The 23,268-nt window shown below is 43.2% G+C and overlaps 1 protein-coding gene across 1 annotated transcript in view, besides 2 other annotated features; it reads left to right on the forward strand.

Moving 5' to 3' along the window:
* The window catches only part of TBX19 (T-box transcription factor 19), a 33,550-nt gene that overhangs the window by 3,066 nt on the left and 7,216 nt on the right, over window positions 1–23,268 (forward strand). The window contains exons 2-6 of the mRNA NM_005149.3: window positions 7,218–7,482; window positions 9,202–9,336; window positions 13,782–13,843; window positions 16,480–16,541; window positions 21,066–21,254. Of these exons, the coding sequence (NP_005140.1) occupies window positions 7,218–7,482; window positions 9,202–9,336; window positions 13,782–13,843; window positions 16,480–16,541; window positions 21,066–21,254 (713 nt within the window). The remainder of the gene's footprint in view (window positions 1–7,217; window positions 7,483–9,201; window positions 9,337–13,781; window positions 13,844–16,479; window positions 16,542–21,065; window positions 21,255–23,268) is intronic.
* Window positions 1,243–1,744: an enhancer, noted in NCBI's record as "NANOG-H3K4me1 hESC enhancer chr1:168254423-168254924 (GRCh37/hg19 assembly coordinates)". NCBI's record gives its function as "activates a minimal SCP1, AML or CMV promoter by ChIP-STARR-seq in naive H9 embryonic stem cells {active_cell/tissue: H9 hESC(naive)}" and the evidence as "EXISTENCE:reporter gene assay evidence [ECO:0000049][PMID:30033119]".
* Window positions 6,869–7,440: an enhancer, noted in NCBI's record as "NANOG-H3K4me1 hESC enhancer chr1:168260049-168260620 (GRCh37/hg19 assembly coordinates)". NCBI's record gives its function as "activates a minimal SCP1, AML or CMV promoter by ChIP-STARR-seq in primed H9 embryonic stem cells {active_cell/tissue: H9 hESC(primed)}" and the evidence as "EXISTENCE:reporter gene assay evidence [ECO:0000049][PMID:30033119]".

The following is a 23,268-nucleotide window of genomic DNA, read 5'->3' on the forward strand; positions in this document are numbered from 1 at the left end:
TGGAGATCTACTTTCACATATATAAATAGGAAGCTTGCCTCTGACATTGATCAGAAGCTGTAAAGAGAAAGGCTTTTCTCTGAAAAACACGGAATTATCTCCAGAAACTGGGATCCTGATGTTGGCCTCTCTTCTTTCGTTCCTTCCTTTCTCTCTCTCTCTTCCTCCTTTTCTTTCTTTCTCTCCCCTCCCCCATTCTACTACTTCATTTCCCTTTCAGCCTTTTCTTCCTCCCTCTCTTTTTAAAATTGAAAACTTTCAGTTATTCATAGTTAATAGTCCTTTAGATATAACAGTAATAAGTATAATACCTCCTTAGAGCTCATTTGAGTCATCTCTAGTGTATCCAGCCAGTATTCCCTTTCATGTCCATCCTTTAAGCTGGAAACTTATACTTTAGTTTGCAGAAAGAATTCATTTCAGACTTCAGAGGTTAATAAATTAAATTGCTTGCTAGCATGGCAGCTCATGTCTGTGATCCCAGAACTTTGGGAGGCTGAAGTGGGAGGATTGCTTGAGCCCAGGAGTTTGAAACCAGACTGGGCAGTATAGGGAGACTTCTTCTCTACAAAAAATTTAAACAACTAGCCAGGAGGCCCAGGTAGGTTGATCACTTGAGCTCAGAAGTTTTAGAACAGCCTGGGCAACATGGAGAAACCCTGTCTCTCCAAAAAATACAAAAAATTAGCTGGGCATGGTGACACCTACCTGTAGTCCCAGCTACTTGGGAGGCTGAGGTGGGAGATCACCTGACCCTGGGGAGGTCAAGGTTGCAGTGATCACACCACTGCACACGAGCCTGGGCAACAGAGTGAGACCGTGTCTCAAAAAAAAAAAAAAAAAAAAAAAAATCAAATCTCTTGCTTTTGTTTTCTTTACTTGTAACATTTTCACCTAAGGGGAAAATGCCATATTTCTTGTCATCATAAAATAAGAGGTGGGAATTACTAAGTTTAAATTTGCCGATTAGTTTCGATGATTCACCAGTGCTTGATGATTAAGGGGTATTGGTGCAGTGCCACTGAGTTGCTGTTCATAGTCTCCAGTAAGGGCAGTACAAGAGAGGAGAAAAGTAAAGTTGCACATCAGGCCAATACATTTCCATGTCCCTACAGCCCATGGGTATTTTTCTCTGAAGTTTAAAATTACAGCTCAAGAAGATCATATGTATTTATGTAATCTGCCTTTAACCAGGCCACCTTGCTTCCCTAATGCTGTTGTTTTTTTCCCTTCGTTTATTTATCTTTAATTGACACCTGTTGCTATTCTTATGCCTGCTCACCTTCACATAAATGTCAGCATCCATGCACCATGTATGTCACACACACACACACACACACACACACACACACACACACCCCTCTAAAAGTTCTGATGAGTATTTGATAAATAGTAGAGTTTTGAGGAGAGATGGAGGAAAGTGTTTACAAGTTTAACTTTTTGAATTTGCTTTTAACTCTCTGCTGTTCCCTCACCTGTAAAATCTGCCTCATCTCTGCCCCTCTTTCTTCTTGCAAACCTCACTTCTCATAGCCTCCTCCAGCAGCACTGACTTCTGGAGATTCCCTGTCAGTGAAATAAAACTGGAAAGCTGGTCTCATAATAAAAGCCCAACAGTTTATGGGCAAAGCCCAACCACCTGTGGTTCTTCAGGTGTGGTTTTCTTGAGGAGTGCTTATTTACCCTGCCACATTTTCCTCTCTTTCTCTCCAAGGAGGCTTTCTCTCCAGGGTGGATTAAGTGAAATTATGCTGTTACTTAGGGACTGATTTACATATTTCTTATCCCTCACACTCTGGGTTTCTCTATGTTAGCTACATCTAGGAAAAAAATGGGGAAAAAAATCACCTTGATTGGAAGTGCAGTTAATTCCTGAAAATAAAGCCTGATCACGAGTGGTAATCACAGATCAATTAGTTACTGGATCCCTAGATAATGCATCCCTGTCATTGTGAGACAAAAGAGGGGAAAGTGGGGTGGGAGGAGGGGAACTTGGCTTGGAGGCAGGGTGAGTTCCATTCCCAGTTACAAGACCTTAGGCAAGTTGACTGACTTTTATTTATTCCTCATTGCCATAATAGGGAATGTATTAAAAAATGTATTAAAATAGGGAATGGATTAAAAAATAGTCATTTCTCAGTTTATTTACGTAGTGATAAAAACAAAAAATAATTATAAAGTTCTTGGCAAATGCAATACTAAAGAAAATAGAGCAATTAATCATTCTACCATTTCCCAGATATGTCCTCCTTCTAAGAGACAAGACACTGTGACTTCTTTGTTTTTATTAACAGCTTTGTGATGATATAATTCACATGCCATACAGCTCATCCATTTGAAGTGTATAGTTCAGTGGTTCTCAGTAATTCGCAGAGTTGTGCATCCATCTCCACAATTAATTTTAGAACATTTTTATTGCTTCAAAAGGAAGCCCTGCGCCCTTAGCAGTCACCTCCTCTGGCAACCACTAATCTACTTTCTGTTTCTATAGAGTTACCTATTTCATATCATGGACATTTGATATCCTGGGAATCATACAATATGTGGTCCTTTGTCAACAACTTCTTTTACTTAGCGTAATGTGGTCAAGGTTCATCAATGTTGTAGCATGTATCAGCACTTCATCTTTTTTATTGACAAATACTCCATTGTATGGATATAACACATTTTATTTATCCTTCATCAGTTCATGGACATTTGCATTTTTCTACATTTTAGCTATTATGCATAATGTTGCTATGTACCTCTGTGTACAAATGTTTGCATGGAGCTATGTTTTCATTTTTCTTGTGTATATACCTAGGAGTGGAATTGCTGGATTATTGAGAAACTGTATATTTAACCAAGTGAGGAACTGCCAGAGTATTTTCCAAAGTGGCTGCATCATTTTACATCCCTGCCAGCAATGTATGAGGATTCCAATTTCTCTACATCTTCACCAATGCTTTTTATTGTCTGCTTTTCATATTGCAGCCATCCTAGTGGCCATGAAGTGGCATCTCACTGTGGTTTGGATTTTGCATTTCTCTGATGGCTGATGAGGTTAAGCATCTTTTGATTGATCATGGCTTCTTTGAAACATCAGGTACAGCTCTGACCATAGCATGAAAGATGGAAAGCCATTACACATTTTCTTATTCTGGAACGAAAAGTCATGCTACACTCTTTATGAGACCTCACATAATATAGTTGAGAGAGTTAAGAGGAGGGCACTCTAACCTATTAGCAGTGAGGATAATAATTGGAATTTTCCCCTTACTTTGCCTCAGCCACTTTGGTCTTCTCTTTTAGTTTCTGAATAGAGTGGGGCTATTTAAATCTAAGGGCCATTGTACTTGCTATTTCCTTTGCCTCTAAGTGCACCTCCTCTAACATTTTGCATGAGTCATTCCTTCTCATTATTTAGGTCTTAGCTCAAATGTCACTTCCTGTTCAGATATGGCTAAAGTAGCTTCTCATCCTTTAGTCTCCTTCTGTGACATCATGCATTTTAGTTCCTTCATGTCACTCTTGCAATTTGAAATGATTTTTTTTTTAATAGAGATGGGGTCTCGCTAAATTGACCAGACTGGTCTCAAACTCTGGGCCTCAAGTGATCCTCCCATCTTGGCCTCTCAAAGTGCTGGGATTATTGGCATGAGCCACCACACCCAGCCCCAAATGATCTTACATGTTAAGAAACAACAAAGATTTATTGACATGTTTGTTGCCTGACTTCTTTGTTAGAATGTAAGCTTCATGAACAAGAAGATACTGGGTCTGCAATTTTTGTCATTGAATTCCCACCTAGAACAGTTCCTGGGATAGAGCAGGCACTAAAAAACCATTTGTCAAATGGGCAAATAAATCTCTAAGTAGGTATTAAGATTTGGGAAAACTTTGAGGGGGACTTTTCCTTTCACTGTGGCTCAACCATGTTAGCTTTGAGAAGCTAATAAGAAAGGAAAAGAGAGTAAAAAAAAAAAAAAGGAGTAGTGAATGAAATGTAATGTGTGCTTTCTGAGTCCCAGTTTCCTCATCTATAAAATTGGCATAATAACCTCCTTGTGGGTGAAGTAAGACTTAAGTTGTATTTCACTTAAGTGAAATATTCACCTACGCAAAGTCCTAGGTGCAGAGTAAAACTCAGTACAGCCATCCCTTGGCATCCGCAGAGGATTGTTTCCAGGCCCCTGCAAATATCAAAATCTGAGGATGCTGAAGTTCCTTATATAAAATGGACTAGAATATTTTGCATATAACCTATGCACATCCTCCCATATACTTAAGTTATTTCTGGATTATTTACAATACGTAATACAATGTTAATGCTATGTAAATAGTTATGCCATATTTTTTTTTTGTATTATTTTTTATTGTTGTATTATTTCTTTTCAAATTTTTCAATTTGCATTTGGTTGAATCTACAGATGCAGACCCTGGGAATGTGGAGGCCTGACTGTACATGATAACTATTATCATTAGAAAAACAATCTTGCGGTTAGGCACTGTGGCTTGCACCTGTAGTCCCAGCACTTTGGGAGGCTGAGGTAGGAGTTGAGCCCAGGAATTTGAAAGCAGCCTGGGCAACACAGTCACACACCTTTAAATAAAAATAAAACAAACAAAAGTGTCTCGCCTTAAGTCATTTCTTAAATCATAAGTCAGAACTTTATGAAACATCCTGACATTTCTTATCATGAAGACACCAGCCATGCTCTCATGCTTGAACAATTGCATCATTACTCTGGCAATTTAGTGCATGAGTAATATATTATATGTTTTATGAGTTTTTGTTCTTACTTTTATGTGTACTATATAGTCTTATTGAGAAAAGTTTTGGTACTTTTTTTTTTTGAGACACAGTCTCACTCTATCACCCAGCCTGGAGTACAGTGGTGTGATAATAGCTCACTACAGCCCCGACCTTCCATGCTCAAGTGATCCTCCTGCTTCAGCCTCCCCAATAGCTGGAACTACAGGTGTGCACCACCATGCCTGGCTAAATTTTGTATTTTTTATGGAGATGGGGTTTTGCCATGTTGCCCAGGCTGGACTTAAACTCCTTTGGTACTTTTTAACTTTAGTATGCAAAATGACAATTATACACATGCCACTCTTGTGTTTTCTTTAAAATAATATAAAAAGTAAACTTTAGTACTTCAGAAGAAACACTGGACCAGAACACAGAGACCATGTCTCCATATACCTCGTATAAACGGGTCTGACTCCTGGCTGTCAGAATAACCCTATATGATCCCTAGAATCATTTCTGATGCCCACTTTTATGATTCTTTGCAAACGGCATTTGTGTTCTCAGGATCCTTCTGTTTTCTACACTTGGCCAATATTATTAACATAATTGAAAACATTAAAATATATCGTAAAAGGGAATCGTTTAATCTGATAGTAGGAGAAAATAAAAGACAATAATCCTTCTATTGAAGAAAGAACAAAAGAAAATGCAACATGAAGATTTTACATCACACAGGCAGCCGCCCTAGAGGAGGTGTATCATTTTAGTTAATGTAAAAGTGCAATCATCTCACTAAGGGACGAGGAGTGTTGAGGTGGATAATGCAGTTCTCAGCGAAGACCTGGATTTGGAATGCATCGTCTGATGCATTTTTCTCCCTAGAAATTTTACTTAATTTATATACTTGTCCTAGCCTCCCATTTAAATTAATTTTCTCTCCTTGAACACACCAACACAGCCTCATAAAGTTGTTGTGAAGAACTCACTGAGTTAGTTCATGCAAAGTGCTTATTCCCATGCCTGGCACCTAGTGAGTGCTCTGTAAGTGTTGGCCGTATTACCATTACACCCAAGCCCTTCGGCTGGCCTGGCCTTGCTTTGGCTCCAAAATCTTACCTTAGGCAGTGACTTTGGAGTTGGAATCACAAAGGACATCAACTCTGCCTCTCTCCTGCCTAGCAGGCAGAAACTACTTCTCTGTGCTGTTTTTCTGGTGATATGAAGTCTAAATAGAGGCCAAGCATGGTGGCTCACACCTGTAATTTCAGCACTTTGGGAGTCTGAGGCAGGTGGATCGCCTGAGGTTGAGAGTTTGAGACCAGCCTGGCCAACATGGTGAAACCCTGTCTCTACTAAAAATCCAAAAATTAGCCAGGCGTGGTGGCACACATCTGTAATCCCAGCTACTCTCCTGGAGGCTGAGGCAGGAGAATCACTTGAACCCAGGAGGCAGAGACTCCATCTGAAAAAAAAAGAAGTCTAAATAGAATAGGGAGTAACTGCTAATGGCCGTGGGGTTTCTTTTCGGGATGATGAAAATGCTCTAGACTTATAAGCCAGCTACTTGGATAGTTTCTCCAAATATTTGTGAGAGTAAACTTGTTGTTATTATTCTAGCATGTAGAAGAAGGATCGATGAATCTAGATCTGCATGTCTCAAAGTGTGTTCTTTGGACACAAATTCTCATAAAATGCTTAGTTAAATGATAATCCCACTGTCACATACATTTAGGGTGTGCACGTCCCCACGCTTTCTTCAAAGAGTCCCATGGTGTACATGGGTATGTTAAAGGCCCTGCCTGAGGCATCCTGGAGGAAAGAACTGGTCTCACTTTGTACAGTTAAGAGTTCCTCTCACTGACTTAACATGTAACCCTGTTCTTGTTTTTTTGAGACAGGGTCTCACTCTGTCACCCAGGCTGGAGTGCAGTGGCACCATCACAGCTCACTGCAGCCTCTAACTCCTGTGCTCAAGCAATCCTCCCACCTCAGCCTCCCGAATAACTGGGATTACCATGCCCAGCTAATTTCTTTTTTTTTTGAGATGGGGGTGTCTCACTATGTTGCCCAGGCTGGCATGTTTTGCTATAAATGCTATTACTATTATTCAGAAATAGTGTTCTTTGTGAGGTTGGGAAGGGCTGGTCAGTGGCATCAGTGTGCCAGTGGGAAATCTTTGAAGAGAGCTTTCTGTGGGGATGTGGCATTTGATACATCTTGGGCTTCAGGTTCCTGTTGTGTCAAATGACTCCATCAGTGGTTTTCAGACTTTAAAACGGAGCATGTTTTAAAGTGAAACCCTAGTATTAAATTCATTTATAAAAAGAAGCTCCAGTAGAATTGGGGTTGTGGACTTGGGCCCTGTTTATTTGGCCTCCTCACAGGGCATTCCGTGGAAGGTCTCAGTATTGAGAGGCCCCTGGACAAGGTGAGAGTTCCTCTAACGTCCCTCCTGTGGCTAAGTTTCTGCCTTTCCTTTTAGACGGATGTTTCCAGTCCTAAAGATTAGTGTCACAGGGTTGGACCCCAATGCCATGTACTCCCTCCTGCTGGACTTTGTCCCTACGGACAGTCACCGCTGGAAGTACGTCAACGGGGAATGGGTGCCCGCTGGCAAGCCAGAGGTCTCCAGCCACAGCTGCGTCTACATTCACCCGGACTCCCCCAACTTTGGGGCCCACTGGATGAAAGCTCCCATCTCCTTCAGCAAAGTGAAGCTGACCAACAAGCTCAATGGAGGCGGGCAGGTACGAATGAGGCGGGCAGGCCTGGCCACCCGCTCCGGCCTCCCCACAACACCAATCAAGAAATATCAAGGGTGCATTTAGGCAATTAGAGGTGTCCTCACCAGCCTCTTCTCCCACAGAAGCCAATTATTCCCGGGAGTCCAAATGTAAACAAGAATAAACAGCTCTTAATTGGTGCTTTCAGTTTTTAATGGACTTCCTGATGTTAAGAGAGTGAGAGAGCAGTGGTTTACTTAATCACCGGGGCCCTTTTCATAGTTTCGTCTTGTGTGCTGTGCTTTTTACCCAGCTCTAGGAGGGAGATGTTTGTGGGTACCAGGGTTTTGTTAGTCCCTCTCCCCTTTTTTAGTATAAGTGGCATGCTGGCAATAGACAAATACCTTCATAAAAAGCTGCTTCTAAATGAAATAATTACTACCTCCACTTGGGCATTATGATAATTATCAATAGAATATTGAATCAGCTTTGGTTTTTCAGGAAAAAAAAATCCAAACAAACCTTCCTTAAACAAGGAAGGTTTTATTTCAGGTCTCCAATTAGAGTAAACAAGCATTTGGGGCTTTTTCCTCTTGTTTTCTGTGTTAGGATTGTGAATACTAGTCTGCTATAGAAGGTTGCTAGTTACTTTCTGTAATGTAGGCAGTTTCTGGGGATTGGAGACACAGATGGGAGTAAAGGGTCTGGATTCTTCTCTTTCCCACCTGCCTGTTTGGCTTTCCCTCAGCCTCCCACCCTGTGCCCATGTGCCCCTTCTCTGATCTCTGTGCTCAGATGGCAGGGACCATAGGAGTTCATGTGTCCAGAGGTAACACTACCCGAGTCTGTGATACTCAGAAGCTTCCAGTTCCTTATTAAAACGGGAAATTGAACAGTAAATTGTTACTGCCTACCAGATTTCACAGCAGGAGACTGTCATTACACCTTTCATTTGACTCAGAGAGAGTGTAGCCATCAGATGCCAGATTTTGCCATTCTTTAGTCACTTGGAAAATGCACCCATTGTCAGCATTTTGAGTTATTAGGATTCCTCAAATGAAAAAAAGGCAAACAATATATTTTGATGGATTGAAATCCACACTGTTGTGCTGAAAATAGGGGAAGGAAAAAAGGAAGCCAAGATTTTGGCAGAAAACTGAACACTCTTAAGAATAACTCCTCAGCCGGGCGCGGTGGCTCGCGCCTGTAATCCCAGCACTTTGGGAGGCCGAAGTGGGCGGATCACGAGGTCAGGAGATCGAGACCATCCTGGCTAATGTGGTGAAACCCCGTCTCTACTAAAAATACAAAAAATTAGCCGGGCGTGGTGGCGGGCGCCTGTAGTCCCAGCTACTCGGGAGGCTGAGGCAGGAGAATGGCGTGAACCCGGGAGGCGGAGCTTGCAGTGAGCTGAGATAGCGCCACTGCACTCCAGCCTGGGTGACAGAGCGAGACTCCGTCTCAAAAAAAAAAAAAAAAAAAAAAAAAGGAATAGCTCCTCTCTGACAACCCACCCCTCACCCTTGTAAAGGCTTCAATGTTATGCTTCCTGGAGCTTCTGGAAAATTCCCTTCATTTGTTTCTTAGAGGTGTGGTGGCAGCTCAGGTGGCCTAGGATTTGAAATGTGTGTCCCTAACCGGGGTGGTGCTAAGCTTGGGACCAACTGGAGATGCTGGCTCCTTTATCACCTGCGATACACGGGGCTTTGCTTTTCTCCTCTTTCTCTTCTCCTGCCTCGACAGATAATGTTGAATTCTCTGCATAAATATGAACCCCAGGTTCACATAGTGCGTGTTGGAAGTGCCCATCGAATGGTAACAAACTGCTCCTTCCCTGAAACCCAGTTCATAGCCGTGACTGCCTATCAGAATGAGGAGGTAAGAGTGTGTGTGTGTGTGTGTGTGTGTGTGTGTGTGTGTGTGTGTAACTGTCACCTGGGAGATCATGGCAGGATGGGCGGGGGGGGTCCTTTTAGATGAAAGGTAGGTTTTCCAGGATTTGGATACACTCAGCAGACATGAAGTTAAACAATGGAGTAGCTGCTCTCCCTCCCTCTTGGCTGTTTGCTAAAGGCTCACCAGCATGTGCTCTCCTGGTGCCAACAAGACACAGCTGTGCATTGTCATGAAACTCCTGAGTTCTGTTGAAACTCTGGAGTCTTTGTTGTCAGGACCCTATGTGTCCTTGGCCTGTGCAGAGCTGAGTGTGTCTTGAGTGGGTACAATTGGGCAGGAGCTGTCAGGTCTCCTGCTCTAGAAGCAAGTCTGTAGCAAGTGATCCAAACATGCACCCTCCCTTGGGTTTTATTATGCTATCATTACTGCTTGTTAATGTTCAATATCAGCACAGTTAGTCTGCTGCTGCCCAGTGACTTGAGCCGCCTGGCTGTGAGGGCTGAGTGGTTAGCGCCTGGCCTGTCTGTGAGCTGCTTTGGGTCCGTTCACATGATCTGCTGATAATCAGAAGAACCCAGGGAGGGTTGAATTCTTTTTGATTAAACTTTAAAAAAATTTTTTAAAGACAATATTTATTTATTTAAAAACACATAATAAACTGACAGTACAGAAGTATATAAAGTAAACATGAAGACTACAGGGTAAAGCTATACGGGTTTCTTCCGCTTTTGGAAACTCACTCCCCATGGACACGACGAAGAATAACTTAGAGTGTGTCTTTTTGACAAATTTTCTATGTATATGTAAATATATATGTGAATGTAGATTTCCTCACATAAATTGGCTCATGTTGTATATATTATTAATCTGCAAATTTCTTTTTCCTCAGTTTAAGGGTGTATTATGATTACCTTTCTATGTAATTATACCTAGGTATATCTCCTTTTCTGTAGTGCCTGCAGAATATTTCATTGTATGAATACACTATTTCACGTAATCAGCCCCCCACCAATGGACATTTAAGTTGTTTCCAACTGTTTTCTTTTTTTTTTTTGAGACAGAGTTTCACTCTTGTTGCGCAGGCTGGAGTGCAATGGTGTGATCTCAGCTCACTGCAACCTCTGCCTCCTAGGTTCAAGCGATTCTCCTGCCTCAGCCTTCCGAGTAGCTAGGATTACAGGCACCTGCCACCACGCCTGGCTAATTTTTTTTTGTTTTTTTTTGAGACAGAGTCTCACTCTGTCACCCAGGCTGGAGTGCAGTGGTGTGATCTCAGCTCACTGCAACCTCTGCCTCTGAGATTCAAGTGATTCTCCTGCCTCAGCCTCCCAAGTAGCTGGGACTACAGACATGCACCACCACTCCTGGGTAATTTTTGTATTTTTAGTAGAGACAGGGTTTCACTATGTTGGCCAGGCAGGTCTCGAACTCCTGACCTCAGGTGATCCATCCACCTCGGCTTCCCAAAGTGTTGGGATTACAGGTGTGAACCACCGTGCCCGGCCCTTTATTTTCTATTATAGATAATGCTGCAATGAATATCCTGGTGCATCTGTCATTTGCTTGCGTGGGTGAACACCTAGAAACAGATAGACATGGCCAAATTGCTTCCCTCAAAATGGCATCTCTATTTGTAGCCCCAACACCATGATCAACACTATTATCAATCTTTGTCATCTTTGACACTCTAATAGGTTAAAAAAAATAAGATCTTGGCCGGACGTGGTGGCTCACGTCTCTAATCCCAGCACTTTGGGAGGCCAAGGCGGGCAGATCATGAGGTCAGGAGTTCCAGACCAGCCTGGCCAACCTGGTGAAACCCCGTCTCCACTAAAAATACAAAAATTAGCTGGGTGCAGTGGCGGGTGCCTGTAATCCCAGCTACTCGGGAGGCTGAGGCAGGAGAATTGCTTGAACCTGGGAGGCGGAGGTTGCAGTGAGCCGAGATTGCGCCACTGCACTCCATCCTGGGTGAGAGAGCAAGACTTGGTCTCAGGAAAAAAAAAAAGATCTTGTTGTTGCTTCCATCTATATTTATTTGGAAGCTTTAAAGACAGATTTTGGGCTGCCACTCAGCCAACTGAGTCAGAATCTCCAAGGATGATGCTCAGATTCTGTAGATTTAAAAGTCTCCCCAGAGGATTCTATTGATCATCCAGGTTTGGAAGCTACTGTCTTGTGCCTACAGGTGAAATGAAGTTGCAGATTTAACTCACATCACAGATGTGCAGAGAAAATGTCATTTCTATAAGTAAACTGGCCTCTTGGCAGAGCCCCTGCAGCCAGTCAATGGAAACAGAAATGAACTAGCTAATAATGTAAACAGTCCCTCAGCTGGTGGCCAGTCTTTCGATGATAAAGTAATTCCATTTTGCAGATAGCCCTCTCTCCCAGCTTTTCTCCCTGGGCTGGAGTCTGGGTCTATGAGGGGAGGTATGGCCTTTGTAACTCTGGGAAACGGGGTGGTGGGGGGTGCATGTGGAATTGGAGACCATGTCCTAACCTCCTCTGGTCTCCCGGCAAGGCCCCTGCCCACTGGTGTGCTGTTGGTTTAGTTGGTGGTGTGCGGAACTTGTCATTTGGCTGCTGACTTGGTAAACCCTCAGAAGCTTTTCCTGGCTGCAGGTGCTGGACAGTTCTCTTTGAACCACCTGACTGGTCATTTTTGACCCATCCAGCAATCTCCCGGCCTGACTCGCTACTCCTGGGTCTTGAACATGCTCCATGGCAATCAAGCTCTGGAAAGCCTAGCCCCAGTGCCTCCCTCTGCCAACAAAGCTTCCCTGCCAAGTCCATGCAGATGCACCCCGAGTGGCGAGTGGGCGTGGGGGTGGGTGAAGGAGGCCAGTGTTTCCTTTGCACCCCCTGCTAGCTTCTTGTATGCTTTTCTACCTCTCCAGGTTTAAGCCAAGAGAAAGACCAGGTTGTACCTATCTGACCCCACACCTCTTTTTCCTCTTTCTCCTGATTTCTTCTCACAAGTTCTGAGCCAGAAGGAGTTGGGCTCTGTATTAGCCCATTTTCACGCTGCTAATAAAGACATACCTGAGACTGGGTAATTTATAAAGAAAAAGAAGTTTAATGGACTCACAGTTCCACATGGCTGGGGAGGCCTCAATCATGGTGGAAGGCAAAAGACACATCTTACATGGTGACAGGCAAAGAGAATGAGAGCCAAGAGAAAGGGGAAACCCCTTATAAAACCATCAGATCTCGTGAGACTTATTCACTACCACGAGAACAGTATGGGGGAAGCTGCCCTCATGATTCAGTTATCTCCCACCGGGACCGTCCCACAACACGTGGGAATTATGGGAGCTACAATTCAAGATGAAATTTGGGTAGGGACATAGCCAAACCATATCTGGGTCTTATTTTGCTTTCCTTCTTCCATCAAGTCTCAGATCCTTGCTGACATAAATATTCTGTGAGCTGGGTGTGGTGGCTCATGCCTGTAATCCCAGCACTTTGGGAGGCTGAGGCAGGAAAATCACTTGAACCCAGGTGGCAGAGGTTGAAGTGAGCCAAGATTGAGCTACTGTACTCCAGCCTGGGAGCAAGACTCCCGTCTCAAAAAAAATATATATATATGTGTGTGTATATATATATTCTGTAAATATTTATTTACTCAACAAATATTTGCTGGGCATTACTACATGCTGGATATTGTTCTAGATGCTGGAAATACTGCAATGAATAAAACAGATGAATACCCTGTCTTCAAGGCACTTACATCCCAGTGGGGAGAGATGAAAAATAAATATTTCTTTGTCTCTATCTATCTGTTTTATCTCTATCACGATCACTATCTATCTATACGTCAGATGTCTCTAATGAGAAATGAAGCAGGCTCAGGCTAAGGCAGATACAGAGAGTGACAGTGAATGGCAGTGATAGTTTGCTTTTTGCATTGACATGGCCCCATGTGTAAGTGATTATTTATGAATGAGGGACTCGATGCTAGATGGCACTCATCCAGAGGGGCAGGATCACACCTGTGCTGCTCTCCACTGTGTACCAAGTAACTAGAAAAGTAAATCACATGTAGTAGGGGATCAAGGATTGTTGAAAAAAATAAATACATGAGTAAAAAAATGAATGCTAGGTTTCGCACATCAGGGCTTTGCTCATTTCCAGTGTTTTGCCCTTTCTTTTCTCACTTTACATGGCATTAGCATTTTCACCACATGCAATGATAAAATGTCCTTTGCCAGAGACAGCGCAGTGGTGATTAAGTGCTGGAGTAAGCAAAGATGGAAAGGGCCTCTGCCTCTCAGAGTGCTGGGATTACAGGCATAAGCCATCGTGCCTGGTGGGAAAGGGAAGGAAAAGAGAGGGAATTAAACTGGTTTTACAGAAGACAAAGGGTTCTGTTTGCCCATGTGTATCCTACTTTTACTAACACTTCTTGTCTTTGTAAATGCAAGATAACGGCTCTCAAAATCAAGTACAATCCTTTTGCCAAAGCCTTCTTGGATGCCAAGGAAAGGTAAGTAAAGAAATTTTAGTGAAATCTTCTAATGAATGATTTATGCAAATACAAATGTGGAATTTATGATTATCTTGAAAGGAACTAGACTAGTAGCACTTTCATTACCTTTTATAGAAATAGGCTTTCGGCCAGGTGCGGTGGCTCATGCCTGTAATCCCAGCACTTTGGGAGGCCGAGGCGGGCAGATTACGAGATCAGGAGATCGAGACCATCCTGGCTAACATGGTGAAACCCCGTCTCTACTAAAAATGCAAAAAATTAGCCGGGTGTGGTGGCGGGCGCCTGTAGTCCCAGCTACTCGGGAGGCTGAGGCAGGAGAATGGCGTGAACCCGGGAGGCGGAGCTTGCAGTGAGCCGAGATGGCGCCACTGCATTCCAGCCTGGGCGACAGAGCGAGACTCCGTCTCAGAAAAAAAAGAAATAGGCTTTCAATATTCAATTCAATATTCAACAACATCTAGAAAATTCAAATCATAATTATCTATTCGTTATAATAGGGATCCGGGAGAACTGTTAACTAACAATTTTTTTTAAAGACCTGTTTTACTATGAATTCTTGAAAGTAGCACAATCACATTAAAAAAATTAAATGATTTAGATTTATAATAATTCACTCTGCCTTTTTCCTAATTACTTCTGAGTAGCATGGCATTAATAAATTGCTTTTTTAAAACTACATTTAGCCTAGGAAAAGTGAAAAATGGAGACAGGTTCACATTTCCTCTGCTGAGAAAAGAAGTCGGAGACTTCTGGGGGTATGAGTGATGATTCTGCTACTTCGGGGCAGCGACCTGCCATCTCTATATCTTTTCTTTCTTCCTTCCTTTCTCTCTTTTTTCCTTTCTTTCTTTCCCTTCTTTCCCTTTCCTTCTTTTCCTTCCTTCCTTCTTTTTCTTTCTTCCTTTCCTTCCTTCCTTTGCTTCCCTCCTTTCCTTCCTTTCCTTCCTAGCTTTCCTTCTTCCCTTCCCTTCCATTCCCTTCCCTTCCCTTCCCTCCCTCCTCTCCTCTCCTCCCCTCCCTCCCTCCCTCCCTTCCTTTCTTTCTTTCTTTCTTTCTTTCTTTCTTTCTTTCTTTCTTTCTTTCTTTCTTTCTTTCTTTCTTTCTTTCTTTCTCTCTCTCTCTCTTTCTTTCATTCTTCCTTCCTTCTTTCTTTTTTTTTTTTGAGACAGAGTCAGGCTGGAGTGGCACTATCTTGGCTCACTGCAACTTCTGCTTCCTGGGTGCAAGCGATTCTCATGTCTCAGCCTCCCTAGTAGCTGGGATTACAGGTGGCCACCACCATGCCCAGCTAATTTTTTATGTTTTATTTTTAGTGGAGACAGGGTTTTGCCATGTTGGCCAGGCTGGTCTTGAACTCCTGACCTCAGGTCATCCACTCGCCTCGGCCTCCCAAATTGCTGAGATGACAGGCTTGAGCCACCGTGCCCAGACTCTATGTCTTTTGCATCCCAGGAAAAAGAAGATGATGGTGCTTATCACTGACTTTTTAATTGACAAAGCCTACAGTATAATATGATTATCTTTTTAATGTTCAGATTTTATTGCTTGAGTTTCAAATCTTTTAAATAGTTTTTATAACTGTCTAATCTTTCCTGTTCACCTTAAAGGCTCTGATAAGGCTCTAGATTAATGGACAGATGTTCATAATGATGCATCACATGACCCTGTCCTGTCCAATATTTGAATATATTATTATTATTATTTTAGAGATGGGGTCTTGCTCTATCACGCGGACTGGAGTACAGTGGTGTGATATAGCTCATTGCAGCCTTAAATTCCTGGGCTCAAGCTATCCTCCTGCTTCAGCCTCCCAAGTAGTGGGGACTACAGGCATGTGCCACCATGCCTGGCTATGTGTTTTTTTTAAAGAGACAGGGGCTCTCAGTATGTTGCCCAGACAGTCTCAAACTCCTGGCCTCAAGTGATCCTCCTGCCTCCGCCTCCTTAGTTGCTGAGATTGCAGGAGTGAGCTACTGTGCCTAGCTCCAATATTGGAATAAATTATGATGATATACAAGACACACTTATAACGTTTTCAGTTAACAAAAGGCCTAAAGGATAAACTGATATGTGAGATGACACAATCTAGATTCAAAGTGACAGTAGCATGGTATAATACAAAGAATTTAGGACTTTGAGTAAGAGGTCCTGACTGAATCCTTGCTCTGTAATTTACTGGCTGTTTGTTCTTGCATAAGTCAGTTTACCTCCTCGAGATCCACTTTTCTAATCTACAAAATTAGAAAAATATGTTAATATTTCCCTCACAGGGTCATTGGTGGATCTAGCATATCACATATGTAATTGTGCCATGGAATTGTGCTGTTATTATTGCTTGAATCTTGTCAGTCAGGAGCAATATCCCCAAATTATTCAGATCAAAATAAACAGGGATAGCTGTAAATGTGGTAAAGAGGGGTAAACAGTAAAACTGCAACTCCAAGAGCAATTGCACAAGTAGAGACAGCACCCCGAAGGAAGGAGAATGGGGAAGGACAGGAGCTTAGGAAAAAGGTGTTTGGTTTTCTTATTCTAAGAAATTGATTGCTCTTCAAGGAGAATTTTGGGTATGCTTTATAGTGGACATACATAAAAAGTTGGACAGCCATGGTGCATTTTCTTTACTCTTTCAGAAATCACCTAAGAGACGTACCGGAGGCTATCTCTGAGAGCCAGCATGTGACCTATTCTCACTGTGAGTTGGGTGTACATGAGGCGGGAGGTGCGTGGGGCTGTACCTGGAGCCAGCTCCTTCCACACTCAGACTCTTTGCCTGTCAGGACTGCTTAAGGACTTCCAAATCAAAACCCAACACACAGTTTATTCTATTAAGGACAAATTTGTGCCCTTTCCAGAATTCCAGAGAGAGAGCCAATGGTCCTAGGCTTAAGAGACTTAAAAAAGTCTTAGGCAGGAGATAAGAATGAAAATGATGAATTTCTTAGACTCTGGTTTTCTTGTCAGTAAGGCTCTGAGCCCTCAACAGTGTGTTCTCGGCTTGCCTCCTAACGTTATGCTTGCCACTCTGGTCTCTCTGTTTTGGAGTTCTCCTGTTCTTAGTGTTTGCTAATTTTGGAGTTGGTTCCCATAGCAATGTGTCATGCAGGCTGTAGCCTCCATGGGGAAGAGTCTTTATTTGTGGGCTGGAAGGCTGTAGGAAGAGGTGGAGTAATATAGCTGGGATTCTGAAGGTAGTGTTGGATGTTCCCATCAGGGTGTTACCTTGTCCATGTCCCAGGATGGTGGAGGGAATCCTCTGCAGCTGCAATGCAACCCACGATCAGTGACATCAGAGTAGGAAAGTTAACCCTGATGTCTGAAACCCTCTTTAATTTGGATTATATTGGCTTGCAAAGATCCCTTATGCAGTTTGCCAGCTGCAGAGTTCTTTACTTCTTCCTTCCCTTCAATCTTACTGCACCTTCCATAACAGACCTGGGAGTATAGCCGCATAAAGAGAAGCAGCTCTCAGAAAAGCACTCTTTTTTTTTTGAGATGGAGTCTCGCTCTGTTGCCCAGGCTGGAGTGCAATGGCCCAGTCTTGGCTCACTGCAACCTCCGCCTCCCGGGTTCAAGTGACTCCTCTCCCTCAGCCTCTCGAGCAGCTGGGCCCACAGGCATGTGCCACCATGCCCGGCTAATTTTTGTATTTTTGGTAGAGATGGGGTTTCACCATATAGGCCAGGCTGGTCTTGAACTCCTGACCTTGTGATCCGCCTGCCTCGACCTCCCAAAGTGCCGGGATTACAGGCATGAGCCATTGCCCCCGGCCGAAAAGCACTCTTTAAAAATGACTGTCAACCTAAATGAAAAAACTGAGGCAACATTAATATAAGTAAAAAGTTTATTTGGGTCAAGTTTGAGGACTACAGCTTGGGAGCACAGATTCAAGTTCCCCTGAATATATACTTGGGTTAGCAGCAGTTACAAGTGGATTTTTAAAGGGAAAAATAAGAGGTGATTCATAAACTGTCTACTGTAACATGAGCTGCTGATTGGTTATATATTGTTCTTTGTATCACACATTCCAGGAACGTGAAGATAATGGGTGAGGCAGCTAGTCAGGAACAAAAATGCCTTTAAAGAATTGCCCCCAGGCATGGGTGCAGGGGGTGCCCTTGACTGAAGCTGCTCCTCACACTCACATCCCTCTGGGTCTGATAAATTTTGCATGCCTCACATAACTCAGACTGTTCTGAGCTGTTTTTCTTTTATCACTTCCCCCTCAGTTTTTTCCTTTAGGTGGAATGAACTGGAATAAAAACCTCGTTTTCTAGGTTAGGGCCATGTGCAGAACCATAGGAGTTCAAAGTTCATGTGTTGCAATCTTCTCAGCAAACTTCTTGAGGTGTGTACATTATATGTGGCAAAGTCTGGTTCTGAGGGGCCACTTGCCTGGTTTTGCCCGCTGGGTGCATGAATCTTGATTCTGTTAGTCAGATGGGGACCCCTTGGGCCATAAGTTTGTGCAACTCTGGGAAAATGAAGATGACAAAAGGATTTGTTGGGAATGATTGTAATATGAACTTTGTACAATTTGCTTACTTGTACTTAAAAAGTATTAAGCGAAGGCGGTGGGTTCTAATATCAAGCTCCATTTCCTCATTGCCGAAGCCCAGGTGACAATCCTTAGCCAATGTTCTTAAGGAACAGCTCTGTTTCTATCTGAATCCCCATCCACTGATCCCTTAGCTGAGGCATGGTCAGCGGGAGAACAAGCTTCTTGTTTTGGGGCCTGCAGTACTAAGTCTCAGTCTTTGCCCATAAACTCACTCGAAATAGTCTTCTGTTCAGAATCTTTCTACAAAACATTTTGCAGTCGTCCAAAATATTCTGCAAAATGCTTGCTGCCTGCCAGTAAATAAGTGGAATGAAAAAGAAGAAAAAAGGAAAAAAACCCCAAAACCAAAAAAAAACCCCAAAATGCTTGCTGTCAAGTTGTGCTAGGCCAGCTCTCCCTTTCTGTGCTGTCAGAATTCTCTTTGTGGGGTGGGGTTGGAAGGCATCATGATATCTCTTGCTTAGAGTGAGAACTGAAGGCACCTTCACACTCGGCAGAAATAGAGAGGCTTTCACTCTTCCTGCGTAACCACATTAATCATTCCCTACCTTCCCTGGTAGCTGAAGGTCCATGAGTTACATATACGTGTAATGCCTCCTAGACTGCCTTTTATTTTAATTAAGCCTGAAGCACCTTAACTTTGCATTTCTATTAACTTCTGCATTCAGATAGTATTTCTTTTTATTTATTTATTTATTTATTTTTGTTATACTTTAAGTTCTAGGGTACATGTTCACAACGTGCAGGTTTGTTACATATGTATACATGTGCCATGTTGGTGTGCTGTACCCATTAACTCGTCATTTACATTAGATATATCTCCTAATGCTATCCCTCCCCACTCCCACTACCCCACGACAGGTCCTGGTGTGTGATGTTCCCCTTCCTGTGTCCATGTGCTCTCATTGTTCAATTCCCACCTATGAGTGAGAACATGCGGTGTTTGGTTTTTTGTCCTTGCGATAGTTTGCTGAGAATGATGGTTTCCACCTTCATCCATGTCCCTACAAAGGACATGAACTCATCGTATTTCATATTGCTATATTCCAGTGTTGCTTTAGAGGTTTTCCACCCTTTGATAGAGTCCTTTGATAGGACTGTAACCACCTGATAGGTTCTTCCTGCTGGTTGCACAAAAAGATGTTACTGAGAAGGGGTCCTGATCCAGACCCCAACAAAGGGTTCTTGGACCTCATGCAAGAAAGAATTCAGGGCAAGTCCACAGAGTAAAGTGAAAGCAAGTTTATTTAGAAAGTAAAGGAATAAAAGAATGGCTACTTCATAGGCAGAACAGAGGCATGGGCTGCTCAACTGAGTATACTTATAGTTATTTCTTGATTATATGCTATACAGGGGGTGGATTATTCATAAGTTTTTCAGGAAAGGGGCGGGCAATTCCCACAGCTGAGGGTTGATTTCTCCCCTTTTTAGACCGCATAGGGTAACTTCCTGACATTGCCATGGCATTTGTAAACTATCATGGTGCTTGTTGAAGTGTCTTTTAGCATTCTAATGCATTATGATTCGCATATAACTAGCAGTGAGGATAACCAGAGGTCATTTTCATTGCCATCTTGGTTTTGGTGGGTTTTGGCCGGCTTATTTACTGCATCCTGTTTTATCAGCAAGGCCTTTGTTGTATGTTGTGCTCACCTCCTATCTTATCCTGTGACTAAGAATTCCTAACCACCTGGGAATGCAGCCCAGTAGGTCTCAGCCTCACTTTACCCGGCCCCTATTCAAGATGGAGTCACTCTGGTTCAAACACCTCTGACACAAAGACCACAGCGTTGCAATAAAGAAAGAGTTTAATAGACATGAATCTGGCCATGCCATTTTGGGGACAGAGCTCTTACTCAAATCAATCTCTTCAAAAACTTGTAGGTTAGGTTACCTTTTTCAGAGGCAATTTCAGGGAAGAAGTGGGGGTAGCTAGACAATAGGTGCTTGCTGCTGATTGGTTGGATCAGAGATGAAATCACAGGGAATTGAAGCTGTCCTCTGGTGCTGAGTCACTTCTGGGTGGGGCCACAGGTGGGGTTGGTGGGTCCAGGTGGAGCCACTGGTGTCAGATATGCCAAAAACCTGAAAAGATATCTCTAAAGGCCTATCTTAGGTTCTACAATAGTGATGTTATCTGCAGGAGTAATTGGGAAAGTTGCGTATATTGTAAAGTCTGGAATAATGGCTGGCAATCATTTGTGTCTACATCTTAGCAGAATTCAGGCTCCTCTATGCTCCTAGCCTGGTAGTCTTTCATTAGCTTTACAAAGGCAGTTGAGTTTTAGAGAAGGATTACTATTATTTAAACTATAAGCTAAATGTCTCCCAAAGCTAGCTTGGCAGCTTGAAGGCTAAAGGCAAGAGGGAGATTGGGTAGATCAGAAGTCTTCAACTGCCAAAATTTTCTCACTGATACAATTTTTGCAAAGGCAGTTTCAGGACTGGTCATGCATTTCCAGAGAAGCCAAGTTAGCTGCTCATGGGCAAGGGCAGTGGCAGCTAGGGGATGGTACCACCACACAGGCTGGCACCATCACACAGGCTGGCATCAGTGTCATTTACAAGAATTGTAGCTGTGTAAAGTAGCTGGTCACCTGATTTTTGGTGTGGGAGTTCACAGACTCAGTCTTGGTGTATTCCTCTTGTCTATTTTAGTGGGAGGCTGGATCTTTTCCAATCCAGATGGAGTGTGCACAGCAGGAAACTCCAATTACCAGTATGCCGCTCCTCTGCCTCTGCCTGCTCCCCACACCCACCATGGCTGTGAGCACTATTCGGGTCTCCGAGGACACCGGCAGGCTCCCTACCCTTCTGCGTACATGCACAGAAACCATTCTCCCTCAGGTCTGTGACTCTGCTGATTAAACCCTTGGGGTATGGGCTGGGGTGGGGGCAGTCAGGAGAAATGGATAAACAGCTAGGAAAAGGAGTAGCTAAAGATGGAACCCCGTCATCTAATATACATCTATGATATGATTGTTTTTGTGTTTTATTTTATTGTTATTTTATGTACAAATATTTGATTAACTAGGTATAACAATCTTAGTTTTTTTTAAAAAAATTATTTCATAAAACCCCCAGTCTCCTGGTTTCTAATGAGCGTGAAAGGCCAGGACACTGATATTCTGAGCAGTTCAGGCAGATCTCTAAAAGCCATGTCAAGTTGTGTGGGTCTGAAACACTCAGCTCATCACCTTCGCATGGCTCTTTTCTATAGTTGCATTCATGGCTCAGTTCAGGGAATACTGGGTCTAGCATTAGGGAATTATTAGGAAGGTCTCTGGGAAGCTGGATCCCTATATGTTCAGGCCTTAGTCTGATTCAGTTGGAGACATGCAAACCCAACCTTAGTATTTTAAAATAATTTTTGCTGTCTGTTTGTTTTAAGTTAGCAGTATTGTTTGTGTGCTTTTTTCTCATTGACTATTGCCTTTTCCACCTTTGCCTTATGTAGGCCCAGACCTTGCCTGATTATTAGATTTGTAGAAAGAAGGGAGAAATGAAAACAATGGTTACTTTTTCATTAAATTATTCATGCAACAAATATTTATTGAGGATCGACTATATGCCAGGCTCTGTTTCAAGCACAGGAATGAAATGGACAAATGCCCTGCCCTTACGGAGATTCTATACTAATATGAAAAGATTGACAATAAAACAAGTAAAGTTCATGGCATGGGAGACAGTGGAGAGTATTTGGATTCCAGCCTCCTTCCTTCCTCAGTGACACCCTGAGCTCTGCATTTGTAGAGGGTCCTCCTGGTCACCAGCTACCTGTCCCTGTGTCCCTTAGCCTGCTATTCTTGGCAACCTCAACAGTTGCTGCCAGGTGGGGAGATTATGTAGCTTACCAATAGCAGAAACTGAGCAGTGGCTCACTCTACTTCCTCATTCTTTCCTGCGGTCAGCATCAAATCACATCTTCTGAGCACCTACTGTGTACCGTGTTCTTCTAGGCAGTGGGATAGGAAAGTGATTAAGACATAGTTTCAGGGCCGGGAGCGGTGGTTCACGCCTGTAATCCCAGCACTTTGGGAGGCTGAGGCGGGCGGATCACAAGATCAGGAGTTCGAGAGTAGCCTGGCCAACATGGCGAAACCCCGTCTCTACTAAAAATACAAAAACTAGCCAGGCGTGGTCGTTGGCGCCTGTAATCCCAGCTACTTGGGAGGCTGAGGCAGGAGAATTGCTTGAATCCGGGAGGCAGAGGCTGCAGTGAGCCAAGATTGTGCCACTGCACTCTAGCCTGGGCAACAAGAGCAAGACGCCATCTCAAAAAAAAAAAAAAAAAAAAAAGATATAGCTTCTTCCCTGGAGGAGCTCGGGGTTACACAAATACGTAAATAATGAATCCTAATGTAATGCAGAAACATCACCTGGGAACTTGTTAGAAATGTAGACTTTCAGGCTCTACTCCTGAGTCAGGGTCTGCATTTTAACAAGATCACCAGGGGATTCATAAGCGCTCTAGAATTTGAGAAACAGTCTATAAAACACATAAGTCAGGGTGCCATGTGAATGAAGGAAAAAGAGCAGCTAGATATGCCTGGTGGAGGAGCAAAGGCTGCCCAGAGGGGTTAACATTTAAATGGAGCCTTGAAAGATGAATAGAAAAGGACAGAGTGGGAGTGGGCAGGGGTAAAAGGTGGAGGATGACATGTGCCAAAGGCAGAGGTGCAGGGCATTCCAGGTAGAGAGAGTGGGCTGAGCAAAGATACAGAAAGGGGAAAGACCCTAGGTTGTCTGGGAACAGCTTTGGAGCAGAGTGTAGGGGGAGTGGGGACAGATGGAAGATGTAAGAGTTAGGGCTGGAGAGCTTGGAAGTGCCAGATCGTAAAAAGAAGAGACATGGCCAGGT

This window comes from Homo sapiens, chromosome 1, assembly GCF_000001405.40.
Source record: "Homo sapiens chromosome 1, GRCh38.p14 Primary Assembly".
Taxonomy (NCBI): Eukaryota; Metazoa; Chordata; class Mammalia; order Primates; family Hominidae; genus Homo; species Homo sapiens.